Source organism: Homo sapiens, chromosome 5 (genome assembly GCF_000001405.40).
Source record: "Homo sapiens chromosome 5, GRCh38.p14 Primary Assembly".
Classification (NCBI taxonomy): domain Eukaryota; kingdom Metazoa; phylum Chordata; class Mammalia; order Primates; family Hominidae; genus Homo; species Homo sapiens.
Genome location: NC_000005.10, coordinates 111,067,080 through 111,083,688, shown reverse-complemented (window position 1 = coordinate 111,083,688; position 16,609 = coordinate 111,067,080). Strand labels below are relative to the sequence as shown.

The following is a 16,609-nucleotide window of genomic DNA, read 5'->3' as shown; positions in this document are numbered from 1 at the left end:
CTGAAGCAGGAGAACCACTTGAACCCGGTAGGCGGAGGTTGCAGTGAGCCAAGATCACACCACTGCACTGCAGTCTGGGCGACAGAGCGAGACTCCATCTCAAAAAAAGGAAGCTGTGAAGAATAATGATAGGTTGCAATGACATTGATTGATAGTTTCCTTTTCCCTTCTGCACAGAGCAGGTGCCAGCAATCAGATAGTTTATCTGATAGTTGCTGCTGCCAATTCAGTTTCTGACTCATGATGGACTTTAAAACAGTTTATTCTTGGGAAACACGTATTTAACGTTTAATTCATTTTAATTCCTTCATTCTTTTACTCAGCGTATCTATTGAGAACTATTATGTGGTAGATATAGTACCAAGATAAAGTATGGGCTACACTCTTAAGATATTACTGGCTGGGCGCAGTGGCTCACGCCTGTAATCCCAGCACTTTGGGAGGCCGAGGCGGGCGGATCACGAGGTCAGGAGATCGAGACCATCCTGGCTAACACGGTGAAACCCTGTCTCTACTAAAAATACAAAAAATTAGCCGGGGGTGGTGGCGGGCACCTGTAGTCCCAGCTACTTGGGAGGCTGAAGCAGGAGAATGGCATGAACCTGGGAGGCAGAGCTTGCAGTGAGCCAAGATCGAGCCACTGCCCTCCAGCCTGGGTGACAGAGCGAGACTCCGTCTCAAAAAAAAAAAAAAAAGATATTACCAAATCTTCCTCAAACTCCACATCCATTTGATATATACCCTGAATCATCCCATAAATTTTATATCTAAGATATCTGCTCCAAACACAATCTAAGTTCATCCTCAATACAATTTGGAATGCCCTGCCACTCTCTTCCACACAAGAATAGCTAGCAGAAGGGAGAGTAGAAGAGGGAAGAGTATAGGGGCATACAAATACTGCATTTATGAGCACCATCTTGAAAAGTGGCATCTCAGCTTTAATTGCCAAGGCAATGATCTATTGACATGAGAGTTGTTTATAGAAAGTTTCTTAGCCCATTTGTGCCACTATAACAAAATACCTGAGACTGGGGAATTTGTAAACAACAGAAATGATTTCTCACAGTTCTGGAGGCTGGGCAGTCCAAGATCTAGGTGCCAGTGCCAGTAGGTTTAGTGTCTGGTGAAGGTCTGTTCCTCATATATAGCACTGTCTAGGTGTCATCACATAGCAGAAATGACAGAAAGGGCAAAGGGGGATGAACAGTGTGTTCTCACATGGTAGAAGATGGGAAGAACAGAAGAGACTAGGCTAGTTTCCTCCAGCCTTTTTATAAGGAACTAATCCATTTATGACGGTGGAGCCCTCAGGATTTAATCACTTCCCCAAATACAATGGGGATTTAAGCTTTAAATTGAATTTTGGATAGGACACATGTTCAAGCCACAGCAGGAAACAATGTGAAATATGCCAAAGAATGGCATCCTCTTTACATGTTTACTTTTCCTGCATCCTTACCATCCCAGGTCATAATTTTTGGCTTGTTCCCTAAGATACTGGGGCCTGTCTTCATCTTGCTCATCTCTTCTTCCCACTTCAAATTAAATCAAGATTAATTTGCCTTGTCTTGGCATTCAGGTAAGTTGTAGCATTAATCAGTAAGAATAACCACCCACACAGAAAAACCAAAACAAAACCTTTACTTAAGTAGCTCACGGAATTGGAAATCAAAAGGAGGGTGAGGGTAAGGTTGATTAATCTACTTGTGTAATTATATATTTAAAGCTTCAGGCTCTTCCCTTCTTGTTTCTCTGCCATTCATGGCTTCATCTCAATCCTGGTCTTAGGATAATTGCTAATTGTAATTGCCACTGCATGCTTCTTTGTTTGTATCTCATGAGAGGGGAAGACTATCACTCTACTGCCTTTTTTTTTTTTTTAAAGTAAGGAAACGTTTTTTCAGGGTTTCCCCTCAAAAACCTTATGCTTATTGTTCATCACCAAAGGTGGCTATATGTTTATCCTGAATAAGACCAGAGTCAAGGTACTTGCTTACCAATATGCTTATCAATATTAGCCTGGTTACCTCTATTAACTCCAAGCAAGGATATTGGGACACCCATACTAGGTTAGACTAATCCAGATCCATCCCAGGAGCTGGGATCAATCCCTAAAGCCCTCTGGTGGATGAGGAAATAGATGCAAAATTAAGAAGTGGTAGAATCCATGTTGAGGAGACAACTACAATATCTATTAGTTAGGTAATGAGGATAATTTCCACTTAGTGGAAGGCATTTTTTATTTTAAAATCTCAAACTTTAATCTCAAGTAATAGAAAGTGTGCACTTCAGAATCAGCCAGATGCTACACATACTAGTTGTGCTACACTGGATAGTTCACTCACTGAGCCTTTTCTTGCATCTGTAAAATGGGGATAGCACATAGCTCACAGGATTGTTGCAAATATTTCATAAGGTAGTATAAGAAAAATAACTGATAAAACTACTCAGTAAGTGTTGGTTTCATTTATGACAATCCTTGTCTTTACTTCAAGAATAGTGGAGAATGGAAAAGAATCTTCCCACCCTCCTACTTAAACAGAAGCTAACAGGTAGAAATCAATAATTAAGGCCAACCAATGTAAAATTTTTTTCTACTTATATCATGACATTGTTCATGAAATACTATATACGAAGTACAGGAGAAAGGGTTGAAGTGCTCTGGAGAGGAAATCCTAAGAAGAACATGCTGAAGGTCTTTACAATACCATTGGCTGCTTTTAAGATTTTCTGGTTTTGAGCAATTCGATTATGATGAGCATTAGTGTAGTTTTATCTGTTTCTTGTGCTTCAATGAGCTTCTTGGAACTGTGGGTTTAGAATTTTTTAAAGTTTGGAAATTTACCATTGTTTCTTCCTATATTTTTTTCCGTACCTCTTTACTTAAAGAGACTTATTACATGTATATTAGGCACTTGCAGTTGTTTCACAGCTCTCTGATGGTCTTTTCATTTTTAAGTTATTGTTTTCCTTCTGTGTTTTATTTTGGATAGTTTCCCTTGGTATGTCTTCAAGTTTACTCATCTTATTTTTTGCAACATCTAATCTCTCATGATTACCATTCACTGTGCATTTCATTTCACACATTACAGATTTCATATCTAGAAGTTGGACTGGGATTTTCTTTATGTATTCTGTGTCTATATTTAACTTTTTGAACATATTGAATATAGTTACAATAACCATTTTACAATAACCATTTTAATGTCCTTGTCTGCTAATTCTAACTTCGATGTTAGCTCTGAATCAGTTTCACTTTTCCCCCTTATCATGTGTTATATTTTCTCACTTTTTTCATGTCTGATAATCTTTAGTTGTATACAAAATATTGTGAATTTTCCTTTTTGGGTCCTAGGTATTTTTTATTTCTACAGATATTCTTGAAGTTTATTGTAGGATTCAGCTAAGTTACTTGGAAACAGTTTGATTCTTTCAAGTCTTACTTTTAAGATTTCTAATGCGGGATTATTGCAGCAATTAGCCTTGGGCTAATTATTATTAATTACTAAAGTAAGTCTCTCCTGAGTGCCCTACCCAATGCCTAATGAGTTGTGAGATATTCCAGTCTAGTGGATGAAAATAGGCAATTTTCCTGGCTTTCAGTAAGTAATGGACACTATTCCCTCTAACCTTTCAAGTGACTCATTCCCCAGTGTTGGGTAGTTTTCTCATAGCCATGTGAGTTTTCAGCCATGTGCTGAAAAGTACTCAGCTAAATATTCAAGAGATATACCTACAGGTCTCTGAGCTTCTTTCTCTGTGCACCTCTTACCTGAGGTACTCTGTCTTATGAACTCTGCTATCTTGGTAGAGTTCAAAATTGCTAGGCTGTCAATAACTGTGTGCTTAAACTTTTCAACCTTCTTTCTATTGCCACAAAGCAGTCCTAGACAGAAAACTAAAAATAAAGTTACTGACAGGCTGTGTAACAGTCTTTATTCCAAATCTTTATAATGGTTACAAATAGGCATTCAAATAACTAAATTTAAAGTATTTTCCTTACCATTTGCCAAGGACATTATTTTTATAATGTACTTTAATTCTAATAATAACCCTAAAATACAGGAAGCATCATCCTTATTTTAGAAATGTAGAACCTGAGACTCAAAAAATTCAATTTGCAATTAACTTTGTATATGAGCTATTATCCTTTGTGTTTAGATATAAATAACTTTTGCATGATAATCATCAGTGAAACTATATTATTTGGTAATCTGTAAATACTGGGTATCAAAAAGTATAGGTGTATTTACAAAGTGCAATGCCAGACAAAAGCCAAGAGATATTCTCAGAGCTACAGCTAGAACAAAAACATTTGAGAAAACCTAGTACTTTTGAATAATAAAAAGGAGAGAATACTAAAAAATCTCAGATCAGTTTAATGTTATTGTCTGGTATAATTCTCAGAGAGTTGGCTTGTAAGATTTAGAAAGGAATATAATTGAAATATTTTAAAATTCCCATTTTTAGATAAATTTATTTGATCTGTAGGTTTGATATGGGCTTAGTATGTTTTGACTTCAGTAAAGCATTTGATAAATTTCCCCTCACCTTTATTTTGATATGGATAGAATGAAAAAATTGATATTTGATTCTTAAAGGAACTTTTTTTTTCTTTTTTAACAAAGAACATTGACAAATAACTTTACCAGCCTATAGAGTTGCCTCCTTTGATGGTAAGGAGGGCTTAGTCCTGCCTTGGTCAACACTTTTTCAAAAACTGAATTAAGCAATAGAAAGCCTATGAGGGAGAGTTATGTAATAATAGAACCAAGAGCCAAACTCTCAAGATATCAACATGCTGAGGGGATAGGACAAAAACCGATAAGAAATGGTTAAAAGGAATAAATGTAAAGATCTGTTCTTAGGTTAAAATTATACAAATAATGTGGAACTAAGAAAACAGAAAACTTAAAAATGCAGCAACAGCACTAAAAGTAAACATGCCTTTGTTTGGAATTCATCCACTCCCTCTCGCTCCCCACCTCCACACACTAAAATGACATGCTATGTATAAGAAATATCAAAAGCAAAGAGACCCAGAAAGAGTTTAATAGAGAGCATAGATTACTTGGCAAATAAGATGTGGAAATGTTGTAATGGTAAGGGTATAATGATCAATAAATGGCTCCATTGATTTTTTAGGCATTGGATAAAAATGGTTTCAGCAACAGGAAAGCAAAACTTTATGGATACAAAGAAATAAAGAATTATATCAGCTAGACTTTCTTGTTTTTTCTGTTTTTTTGAGAGGGAGTCTGGCTCTGTCGCCCAGGCTGGAGTGCAGTGGCGCAATCTCGGCTCACCGCAAGCTCCGGCTCCCAGGTTCACGCCATTCTCCTGCCTCAGCTTCCCGAGTAGCTGGGACTACAGGTGCCCGCCACCATGCCTGGCTAATTTTTTTGTATTTTTAGTAGAGACGGGGTTTCACCGTGTTAGCCAGGATGGTCTCGATCTCCTGACCTTGAAATCTGCCCACCTTGGCCTCCCAAAGTGCTGGGATTATAGGCATGAGCCACCGCGCCCGGCCGGCAGTAGACTTTCATACAGCTCTCTTATTCTCTGAATGAAGGAGACAAAAGTGAGAATATAGATTATATAAATAGCATAACTAACAATGTAGTCTCAGTATGTATATAACCAACTTTATATGCTTAAATCACAATTTGCAACTTCCTTTTTATTGACCATGAAACATTGACATAACTGACCGTATACTATACTAGTCCACCAAGAAAGCCTCAATACATTTAAAAAACCAGAGATGTATGATCCACATTGTTACAACATTTGGGAACGTTCTTACTAAATTAGTATGATGCAATCTCTTGCCCATTACTTTTAATTGACAGTGTAATTTAAATGACTAATTTTACATTAAGATATCTATGGAACACATAGAATAAAATATATAAATTATACAAATTTTTAAAGATAAAGCAGAAGATTCAAAGAAACTGCACTTAATGGGATGACTTTGAGTTGTCTCCTTTCTCCCTAATCCTCAATTCTTTTAGGGGAATTGGGCCCAAAATTTTGTGAAAAATTATGTGTATTTATTTTCATAGTTCAGTAAAATCTAGTCAGTGAATCCCTACTAAAATGGAGTTAATAGACAAAGAAATTTCTCTTACAATAGCATTTAAGAGCTTGGGTCAGGTCTTCAGAGGAAGATTTTTAGAAAGCAGGCATGTCCTGATTTTCCTCAGGACAAAAGAAACTGCCTATTCAGCTATACCCTGAGCTTCTCTGGACAAAGGCTGAGTCTTACCTACTTTTCTATCCCCATTGTTTGGCTGAAGGCTTGTTCCACAGTAAGTGCTCTTTAAATGTGGACTGGACATGTAATGTAAGCTTCCTCTTACCTGTTGGCAAGTAAGATGGATTTAAGGACATTGAACTTCCCCACTTCTGTCATGGTTTAGCCCCAACTAACCCTCAGGGAGTAATTAGAGGAACATGTCTACTCCTAGGAAAAATCAGTGCATTCCCACGTGCAGTGGGTTGCCCTTCCCACTGGTGTTTATAGGGTTCTGAGTGGAAATTGAGTGAGAGGGTGCCTGCGGCTCTAGCTTGCAGCGGGAATTCAAGAATCGATTTGACATCCCCTGTTCACTTTTTCCTACTTTGTTTCTTCCAGGTGTGAGGAAAGTTCAAGAGGGGAAAAAATAAAAGACTAGTGACATAATTTAAGAAAAGGATGATTGCAATGCATCCTGAAGCTGCCTATCTCCAAATATTCTCTCCTATAGGCAGGGCCAACAGGTATAAAGGGGAGCAGTCAGTGGGCTCTAAGGATGAGTGGAGGTAAAAACCTGAAGGAAGATAATGTCCCTTAGAAAAGTATGTGTGCAAATTGTCTAACTAGATTTGAGAGATGATTCATAAGAAACAAATTTGAGAATTATTTTATTAAGAAATATATAGTGTCAATTACAAAGGAACATGTACATTTTCAAAAGTGTTCACAAAATAAATTAAAGTAGATTCTATAATTTATATGTATATTTATAGTAGCTGTAACAAAGGTACTTCTCAGGATCTACTTGTATATACCACTCTTGTCTGTTAGATAATATTTAAAACTTGGCTTAGAATACTTTCACAATACTTTGCTTGAAAATTATTTCAAATTGCTTCACTATATTTACAACTATTTGTGAAACCCCATTTGCTTTCACTTTCTTCTCTTGTAAATTTTTAGTTTAACACAAGAAGTGTCATTACATGTAGAAGGAATGTCTGTCTTTTAAATGTAAGTTTAGGTGCTATCATTGAGTTCAATATTTTTCCTTTTTCAGGGAAAAGAGTTCTCCTGCTGCACTTTTGGATTTTCCTCTTGAGCAATGCTTATGCAACTACAGCCGAGAATTACTGCCATGAAGCCAGTCATCAATGTTATGGAAGCTTCCCTCAACATTTGAGGAGTAGTACTTCCCCTGCATTATAAACTTACACAATAAAAACTTACAAAAGTAAGTTAAGAAACTCTTCTGTAATTAAAAGATAACTATTTGTGGTCTTCTTTGTCACAGTTAGAGTTAATGTTTCATCTACTTAATAAAGATGATTTATTTTGGTGCTGTGAAATATGACCATAATAAAGATGGTTTACTGTTGTTTCAGTAAAGGTCGATTGAAGCGACGCCACAATCCTTGTAATTGTGACACTTGTTCCAGACATTTATTGGTTGTGACTTTCCTTTTTCTCCTCTTCTTCATTGCCTGAGTAGCATTTATCTGCAGAATATAAGAATCAATAGTCAAAATTACTTTTCACTATCTTTAGTAACTGTTGAGAGCAGGTTTAATTGCCTTCTCTATGCAAATCCATCTTTCAGTGTGTCTCCAAAGCACCTGCTTACTATGTGCTAGCATGTGCCTTTTCCAGGGGAATGCCTTCCTGTTTCTGTACCCACCTACTTTTGCTTCAAGGCCAAGCACCACCTCCTTCAAAAAGCCTCCACTAATTGCTCAGACCTTGCTTTTGGAAACTCTTCCAGTACTTAAGAGTGTGTGTCATTTAACTTGGCTCTCACTTAACATGCTTTTCTTTATATTGCATCATAGGTATTCCCCATAGCACTGAATACAGTGTCTTAATCATAGGAAACACTGAATATTTGTTGAGTGATTAAGTAAATGAATAAATTGCTGATTTCAAGACCTCCCTGACAAGATCACAAGTTCCTCATGGGCAAGAGCTATCTTATACCTGTTTATAGACATCATTCAATAAACCTAGTCTATTTTTTGGACCCAAAATGCATGCTCCTGCTCCCCATCCTTCCCCCTCCCCTGCCCCATTGTCTAGATGTGTCACAGACATCTGAGGGCTTATTTTAAAGAGGATTGCAGTATATACCTTTATCTGAATTACCTTTGAGTAGTACACTGGGCCTCCTAGACACATGGTATGCAAATTAATAAAGTCACAGGGTTATTAAGCACAAATCTTAAAAAAACCTGCAAAATCATTATTATTAGTCTTAGACTCTCCATTTGGGCTTGGGAGGGACTGAAATAAATTTCTCCAAACTCTCCCTTTCTCACATGCTGTCCAAGAACTTGATCTAGCTTTTTGTTTGTGCTCTTATTTAAATGAATTTTATTGTAGCCATCTGCAGATTTGCCAGGGTCTCCTTCATAAGAAGGCATGAAGCCAAATAGGTTTCCCATATGGCTGTCTGGTATTGAGTTTCTAATTCAAGCTCAACCCAGATCAGCGCTATGGCTTCAATCCTCAACCTCTAGAAAGTGACAGTTTTGGCTGGGCATGGTGGCTCATGCTTGTAATTCCAGCACTTTGGGAGGCCGAGGCAGGCAGATCACAAGGTCAGGAATTCGAGACCAGCCTGGCCAATATGGTGAAACCCCGTCTCTACTAAAAATACAAAAGTTAGCCAGGCGTGGTGGCGGGCACCTGTAGTTCCAGCTACTCGGGAGGCTGAGGCTTGAACCCAGGAGATGGAGGTTGCAGTGAGCTGAGATCGTGCCACTGCATTCCAGCCTGGGTAACAGAGCGAGATTCTGTCTCAAAAAAAAAAAAAAAAAAAAAGTGACAGTCGTGTCCATCTACCTAGACTGTAGACATATAAAGTCCACTAGGCTAATAAGGAGCAATCAAACATATCTGCACTTGTCTCTCTCTGTTCCTTAAACTTGTCACCATGAAGATAAATCCTCTACTTGCTGACTGAAATAAATATTGAGTGCCTGTTGTGTACCAGGCACTGTTCCAACTGCATTTACATGTGTTGACTAATTTAATCCTCAGAAACAACCTGTATAAGACTAACTGATATGATACTTACTTTACCCATGAAGCTACAGTACACGGAGGCTAAGTAATTTAACTAAGTCTTCACAGAAGTTATAGGGCCAGGATTCAAAGTCAGGCAGGTTGTCTCCAGAGTTCCTGTGCCTAACTTTCCACTACACTATCTCCATATTTAATGCTACACGAGCATTCAAATGCAGATAACTACATGTGCAAAAATGTGTAAAGAGACAGCAATAGCGCCCACACAAGCAATTAAGCAAACATAGGATAGAGATTTTATGTATAATGTAATTATACATTTAGCAAATAAGCACACAATAATTAAGTGATAAGAACAAGAGGTGTTGCTCAAACTTTGGACTGGACAAGAATCTCTTAAGGAGCCCCATAATCTGAGATTTTAATGTTGAAGGTCTGGGTTGAGTACCTGGGAATTGGCATTTTTAGCAGCCATACTCTTATGCTCCAGCAATCAAAACATTCTGATATAGAAGTCTCACTCATCATAGCTTGAAACATTGCCCTAAGGTTTAGAACCATAATTCAGCCAAAACAGTATCAGAACCGTAGAAATAGGTGAGTTTGATTCCGGGTATCAACGTGGGTCTAACTGACATCCTACCACTTTTACCCGGCTCGTTTGCTCTTCGAAAGATAAAACCTAAATAAAAATAAGAGAACGACTTCTGCACCAAAGCCCCAGTTTAATTTGAGGTTAGCCCCAAGGTACAGCAAACGTCTGAGGCTTCGGGCTTACCTGAGTTTCCGAATAGCCTGGGCACCAGATAGCTAAGGCAGCCTTAGTTTTCATGGCGAACATTTCTTTGGCGAGCGACGCGCAGCCGGCGGTGGGATTGAAGGTTAGGCTCTGGATTTCAGTAAGGCAATGTGGCTGCTCATAGGCGGCAAAGTTTACGAGAAAAGGAGAAAACACCAGAGAGAGAAAGAGTTGGTGAGAATTGAGTGAAAGGGGAGGGGAGGAAGGTCAGGGAGGAGCGGGGAACACAAGTCGAGAGTCAGAGAGAAGAGGTCAGGGTTGAGTAGAGCAAGGAAGAACCAACCGCGGGGGAGCAGGGGCGTGGCGAGGGTGGCGGAGGGCACTCGTCGCGAAAAGACTGTCACCCACGCTCGCTCCTCCCAAGTCTCCAGGGGGCGGAGGCTGCCAAAATTCCGAGCCCGAGCGCGGAGGCGCCGGACCCCAGCAGGTGGTGCCCCTAACAACGTTCCCTCGTCCCAGTTCCCAATTTGCCTTTCCTCCGGATAGAGACTTCCTCTCCCTAAATTGGAACAGAAGTGTTGTCCCAAGCTAGGCGCAGCCCCGCTCTGACAGCCCAGATGTCCCCTTTCCCCCGGCGGCGGCGTCCCGGAGCCCAGGCACCTCTCGGAGTTCTGCACGTAGCAGGATACTCCCTCTCCAAAATGCCTGGCGTCTCCCTGGAGAAAGCCAGCAGCACTGAACTCTCTACTCACCCGATTGCTACAAGAGACGGTGTTGTTGAACTCGGTACTTTTGGTCTGGAAGAAAGAAAAATAGGACAAAGAGGGTAAAGACTTTTAAGTCCACAAGGAAAATCATCCCTCCACCCTTTGCTCCCAGGCTTTAAAGGTGCCCTGAAAACAGTTTCCACTCAGGTACCTTTTTCCTATGTCATTGACAAGGCAGTGAAATAGCCATTAGATAGTGCTGGTTAGTGCTTGAAACCACACCAAAAGGTTCAGGTCTCAGAGGGCGACCTCCCCCCTCCCTTCCCTCAAGCCATAACTGCACATAGCACTATGCTTGTGAGTAATAATGCCATCCTTTGGATGTCCGCATCTGTACTGTGGCCATTCATGAATGCAAACTCTGTCTAGAAATTAGGTTAATCAGGAAAATGATTACTACTGTATGTTAAAAAAAATTCCAAGTACACCATATTCTGTAATAAATAGCATCCTGAAACATCTAAAACACTGGAGAGACCTGGAGCACAGCATCAATCCTTAGAGTTTATCTCATGAGAATTATCTCTTTTACTCCTCTTTCTTAAGCTCTTACCTCCTGCTTTTTACAGCATAGTCAGAGTAACACTTTAGCAAAGGATAGACATCCTTTGACGCATAACGCGCTGTCTATCAATACCTGCTCCTCATCAGCATCTGCACACTTAGAATGTGCCAATTTCTAGATAATCATTTTAGATTAGATATTTGAATATCACTTGTAAGAATCCTTGACAAAATGTGGGGCCATGATTTTTTCTAAATTATTTTTCTTTCCTACAAAGTTAAATTGTAGAGTGTGTGTATGCCGACTCCTCTGATGAAAATACATTTGTTTTAAAAAAGCTTCTTCACTTACCCCACTCATATATGTAATCAGGTCTTTAGAAATAGTACTGAGATAGGCTGCTTTAATCTTCTCAAAGTCACAGTTAGTGAAGTCGTAAGTTAACACCAGCCCTACAAGTTGTAAGATGAAGATTTTCCTGAAAGAAACTGACAGAACATATAGTAAGGCAAAAGGGAACATACGTGGACACCCAATTCCACCCCAGTTTCACACTAAACTCTTCCCACCACGAGTGTAAGAGATCTGTAAGGCCTGCCTTAGGGGCCAGTGCTCAAGCACCAGGTTTTGCCTCTCATTGCCAGTCCACAGGAAGCCCTTATTCACCCATGCTGTTGCCTTAAGTTGGAGTCTCCCTGATGCTCCAGAGCTTTCTGGCTGCACTATATAACACCTAAACGCCTACGGGCTCTTTTCTCCTAGGCCAATGATTTTCTACCATGTCATTCTCTTCCTTTATAGAATTCTGAATTGATGATGTGAAAGGAAAAAAAAAAAGGAGTAGCTAAATCTATGGAATTTTAACATCAGTAAAGTCATCAGGAATTTCCCTCACCTTCCTCCTTTTTGCTTTGCCCTAAACACTTCATAAGTGTGAATGTCCTTTAAGAAACGGATACCAGTGTCTTTCTCCTACAGGGCATTTCCGTGACCAATCCTTTCTATTTGGGAGAAACACCTTCTGAAACCAGCAGCCACTGTAAGGATTTGGAGTCCTTGCATATGTCCCATGCATTCTGAACATCTTTGAGCATTTCCTGTGGCCACTTTCAACTAGTGCTTTCCCTTCTCCTTGGCTAGTAAGAAACTGTGCTTGCTTATGGGATGCTTTGGAGGGTGGGGTGCAGTCTCAGTCTTCGACAGCACTTCCATGTGAAAGCATTAAATGTGCAACCGTGACCAGAACCTTAGGGGCAGGAACGATAAGAGGTTGAAATAAGTGGGGAAAGATCTGATGTGGCTTGTTCTCAAAAACCCTACTTTTCAAATTTCCCATATCAATTTCAGGAAAAACGCCTACTCTTGGTGGCTAGGGGCACCTTAGGGGCTGAAGAGTCCTCTAGCACTTTCTAGCAGGTGTCAAGAACTTTTAAAACCACAAATTCCAGCGCCCAGCCACCTTCACAGTCCCACTCTTAAGGCCAGCGACACAAGAAGCGGAGCCAGACCGCGCTGCTGGGTGCCCAGCGGCGACCGCACGGAGACGATGCTGTCCTGAGCTCAGCTCTCCCGGAGGCGGCGCACGCTTTAGTGCGCTCTGCCTCGCAGAGGCTTAGCCCCGCGCAGCGTAGACTGGAAAACGTCTGTCACCTGGGGCCTCAGCCCGGGCACCAGTTTTAGAGACAGGAGAAGCATCGAGATGGCGGGCTCAGATTTTTACTAGCAAACTCTTGTTGATCCAGAAAAGAGCGCTTAAAAGCACAGCAAAGTGAGTCAGGGAGAGTGCCCTAGAGGATGTCTGTCTAGCAGTCTTCCCAGTTCCAGCAACACCAATGGAGGGTTGAAGGGAGGGAAAGGCCGACACCGATCAGGTTGCTGAGATGAACCCCCTGCTCCTCCCTGGCTTGGCTCATGCGGCCCTGGGCCCTCTCTACACCCAGGTCCCCTCTCTCTCTCTTTCCCTTCCGCTCCCCCGTCCATCGCACCCCTCACCCCCGCCCCCCGCCCTCGCGTGTCGGAGCCTGCATCGCTCTGGTCCTTGGGAAGTTCCTAGGAGTCATCGCTCGGAGAAAGGAGGTTGGACGCCGTGTGTGAGTCCCAGCAAATGTCACAGGCCATGCGGTGCCTGGGGAAAAGAGCAAGGAATGTCGAGGGATTCGGGAAAAGAGTAGGGGACAAACTGGAGCCAGAGTTGAACTCTTCTTCATAGAAGGCACTCGAGAGGGTCAGAAAACCTCTGATTCACCGCTGACTTCAAAAATGGCTCTTTTCTGGAATTCTTCATGTGTTGTACTCGAGTCACCACAGCATTCTTTGAAAAAAAAGTCCACTCTTCCCCCATCACCAACTTCTCAGGGTATTGTGGGATGATGCCAAAACCTGATTAATCTATTGTGACATCAGAGATTATTCTGGTCGGCAGCTGGACATTATTATATAGGCAGACAGGAGCTAAACTTAGATTTCTTCACTGGGCTGGGATAGCTCCAAGAGACAAAGGAAAGGGCATGGTGGCTGCTTCTGTCACCCTCACCTGACATGCCTTCCCCTCTAGTGGCTTGCTGTAGGGCCAGAGAGTGTGAGTGCCCACTAGAACCTTCGGCTTCATCTCTTGATTGCTGATGGGGGCAAGAACAACAGAAAGCAGCCTACACTGAGCTTCGACTTGCATTCTTCTGGAGGTATAACCAGGCTGCCTCCCTTTTTTTGTTTCCTCTTTTAAAAACCCCTTGTGTCTATGATCTATGTAGAGTCTTTGTTCAGATGAGGTAGGCAGGGTATCTCTTTCTAAGGCATCCCAGGTGTCTCTTTGTCTGTTAAAACATTGCTAAACACTTGTTCCTTTTGCCCCCAATTTCCTTATCTGTAATTATGTGACCTCTTAGATCACCTGGATTATATTACTTGTCTGCTCAAAAAGTTATGGCAAAACAACCTACTCAAGGTTGTTTTGAGATTACAATTATCCCTCCTGCGTTGGCTCCAAGCTGTCTTTCCAGCCCTATTTCCTTCATTTTCCTAGGCTTCCAGCAAACAGTATCTGAAGGTAATATGCTCTAAACATGCTCTGAGCTGTTTTCTTCCCAATCTGAGATGTTAGATTTTCATGTCTTGCCATGTTCATCTTATTTGATGTCTCCAAAAGTGGTCTCCTACCAGGATGTGACCTCATTATCCTGTAAGCCGTATCTATTTTGGACTTCTTTCTATGGCTTCTATAGATTACTTAACATTTCAATAATGTTTTTCAACCTTATCTCTCTATTAGATTGCGAGTTCTTTAAAAGTAGGTAATGTTTTATAGCAGTTCATTTGTTCACTATTTACCTTTCCAGTAGCATTTGAAGTGATTTGCAATAAATACATTGGTGTCAAAAGGTAAAAAAACAGTCAAGGTGAGACAAGAGAATGGAGCAAAGGAATAGGGCGGTTAGAATCAGGTGCAGGGAAGGCTATAGAAAAGCATTACTAAAAACTGGAGAATTATAACAATTGATCTCAAAAGTGAGTTTTGAGCTTCTAAACTGCCACTACAAGGGGTAGACTATGACAAGCTCTACCACACACAAATTCATCATGAAAGCCAGTTTTTCTTAAGCTTATGGTCATCATCATAACCACAATAGGGCTGTCTTCTGTACTACATGTAATAGATATTCAATGAATTCTCAATGTGCTTAAGCATATTAACCTTCTATGAAGATCATTGTCAGGAAGCAAATTCTTTTCCATTGAAAGAACCTCTCTATAAATACTTCTTTTTCTAGCTCTTTGCTGCTGTCTTCCTGGAATCTGCTTATGTCTCACCTGGGGCAACAATTCAGACCAGGGCCATCTGTGAAAATTCAGGGTGAGCTGAAAAGCTTCCTGTTTTCCTTCTCTTTTCATTTGTCCAAATGCTGAAGGAGTGAACAGTATCTGCATACGTAGTTTGGGAAATCCTAGGTTAGGTCAAGAATGGTGTGTCTTCCATATGGAAATAGAAGTGACATCATTTGTAACACTCTGTGATTACTCAGGAAGCTTAGGCAATACTCTTACCCATGTGAAGGACCAGAAAATGATCCATGACATAGCTCTTTTCTCCTACCCTCACTAAAAAGATAAATCATTCATTAATTTTCTTAATACTTTTATTTCTTGTTTTAATAATGCTTCTCACTGTTTCTTTCATTTCGTTATTGTTTCCCACTCCTTCTTTTATTCTCTTATTCTTTCCCTCCTTCTTTTTAAATTTATGTCTTTCCTCCTCTTCCTTGAATTGTCCTGAATATTTAAAGTAGCCTAGAACTCATGCAAAACTCAGTTTGGATTTGAAAAATAGTTGCCAAAAGGAGATTGGTATTTTTTTTTACCTTATTCAATAATATAATTATGGGATTTTAAAAAATGGAAGGGATATCAGAGAGGTTATTGATGAGATGGGGGAGATCTGTCTCTTTGGATTAAGAAAAGTCAATGACACAGCTTAAGCTTGGTAATAATTTAGAAAGGGTGTAATAATGGAGTTTCCCTAGCAGAAGGGTGTTCTTTGGTCTTGAAAGTAAAGTGTATTGCTCTGGACCCTCCAGGACACAAGTCATAAAATCATTCTACTTCTTGGTTTTCATATGCTCATATAAAAGAGAGTGTCACACTTTCAGAGGTGGACATTGTTTCTTTTTTTCATATTCTACCTTGTTTATAGCCAAGCATGGTATTTATGTAAGGAGAAGTGGCTAGTGTTCACCTCTGAAAGTGATATTTATTTTGCCTGTTTCCTTTGCATTTTATGTTTATGCTCATGCAGATTTGCTGTTGGTCTGAATCATTGATGTGGTTCACCAGACTCCATAGTTCCTCTAAGATCTCTTGGGAACATTTGTGGACCAGAAAGTAGGTGAAGGAGTTTCCTATGACAAATGTGAAAAACAACTTTTTTATTTCATTATATTCCCAGGCTGATGATACCTGCATAATCAGCCCATGGCTGTGAAATGTTCCCAGATCTTTTTGAATTGGAGAGTGAGGAGACTAAATATATTCATGTAAACCTCATGCTTACGTTCATTGCTCTGTGAAGAAACAGTCTTACTCCCAGCCGGTGGGGGTAAAACAAGTTCTTGCTTACTTTACTGTTTTTCTACAACATAACAGGACATGAATAGGGAGAAGGTTGTTCAAGAAGAATATAGGAGTTGAGCTTTCTTAGAATGCTTCAAAAAAAGTTTTGGAAGAAGTCAGAGCTAAAGGATAGTTTCAGTTCTGGATACTTTGCAAGGATATTTACTATGCCGGATATCTTCTAATTTCCCCTTTAGGTCTAATCTCTGTCCTTCCCTATGTGGCTTTAT

General features: G+C 40.3%; 1 protein-coding gene across 6 annotated transcripts; it reads right to left on the bottom strand.

The window, feature by feature from the left end:
• Window positions 1-5,662: 5,662 nt before the first annotated feature.
• TSLP (thymic stromal lymphopoietin) lies at window positions 5,663-13,627 on the bottom strand. 6 transcript variants are annotated; one of them, NR_045089.2, is made up of 5 exons: window positions 12,172-13,627; window positions 11,628-11,764; window positions 10,757-10,801; window positions 10,044-10,178; window positions 5,663-7,743 (listed from the first exon to the last, which is right to left on the bottom strand). NR_045089.2 is itself a non-coding variant. In XM_047417847.1 (5 exons), exons 2-5 carry the CDS (start codon window positions 11,634-11,636, stop codon window positions 7,615-7,617), a joined length of 318 nt encoding a protein of 105 aa, XP_047273803.1. In that variant the 5' UTR covers window positions 11,637-11,764; window positions 13,269-13,599; the 3' UTR covers window positions 5,663-7,614. The 6 variants fall into 6 exon arrangements, 5 of the variants coding, with proteins under 5 accessions (XP_047273803.1, XP_047273802.1, NP_149024.1 ...); XM_047417847.1 differs by having other exon boundaries at window positions 13,269-13,599; XM_047417846.1 differs by lacking the exon at window positions 12,172-13,627 and adding an exon at window positions 11,943-11,976.
• Window positions 13,628-16,609: the final 2,982 nt, after the last annotated feature.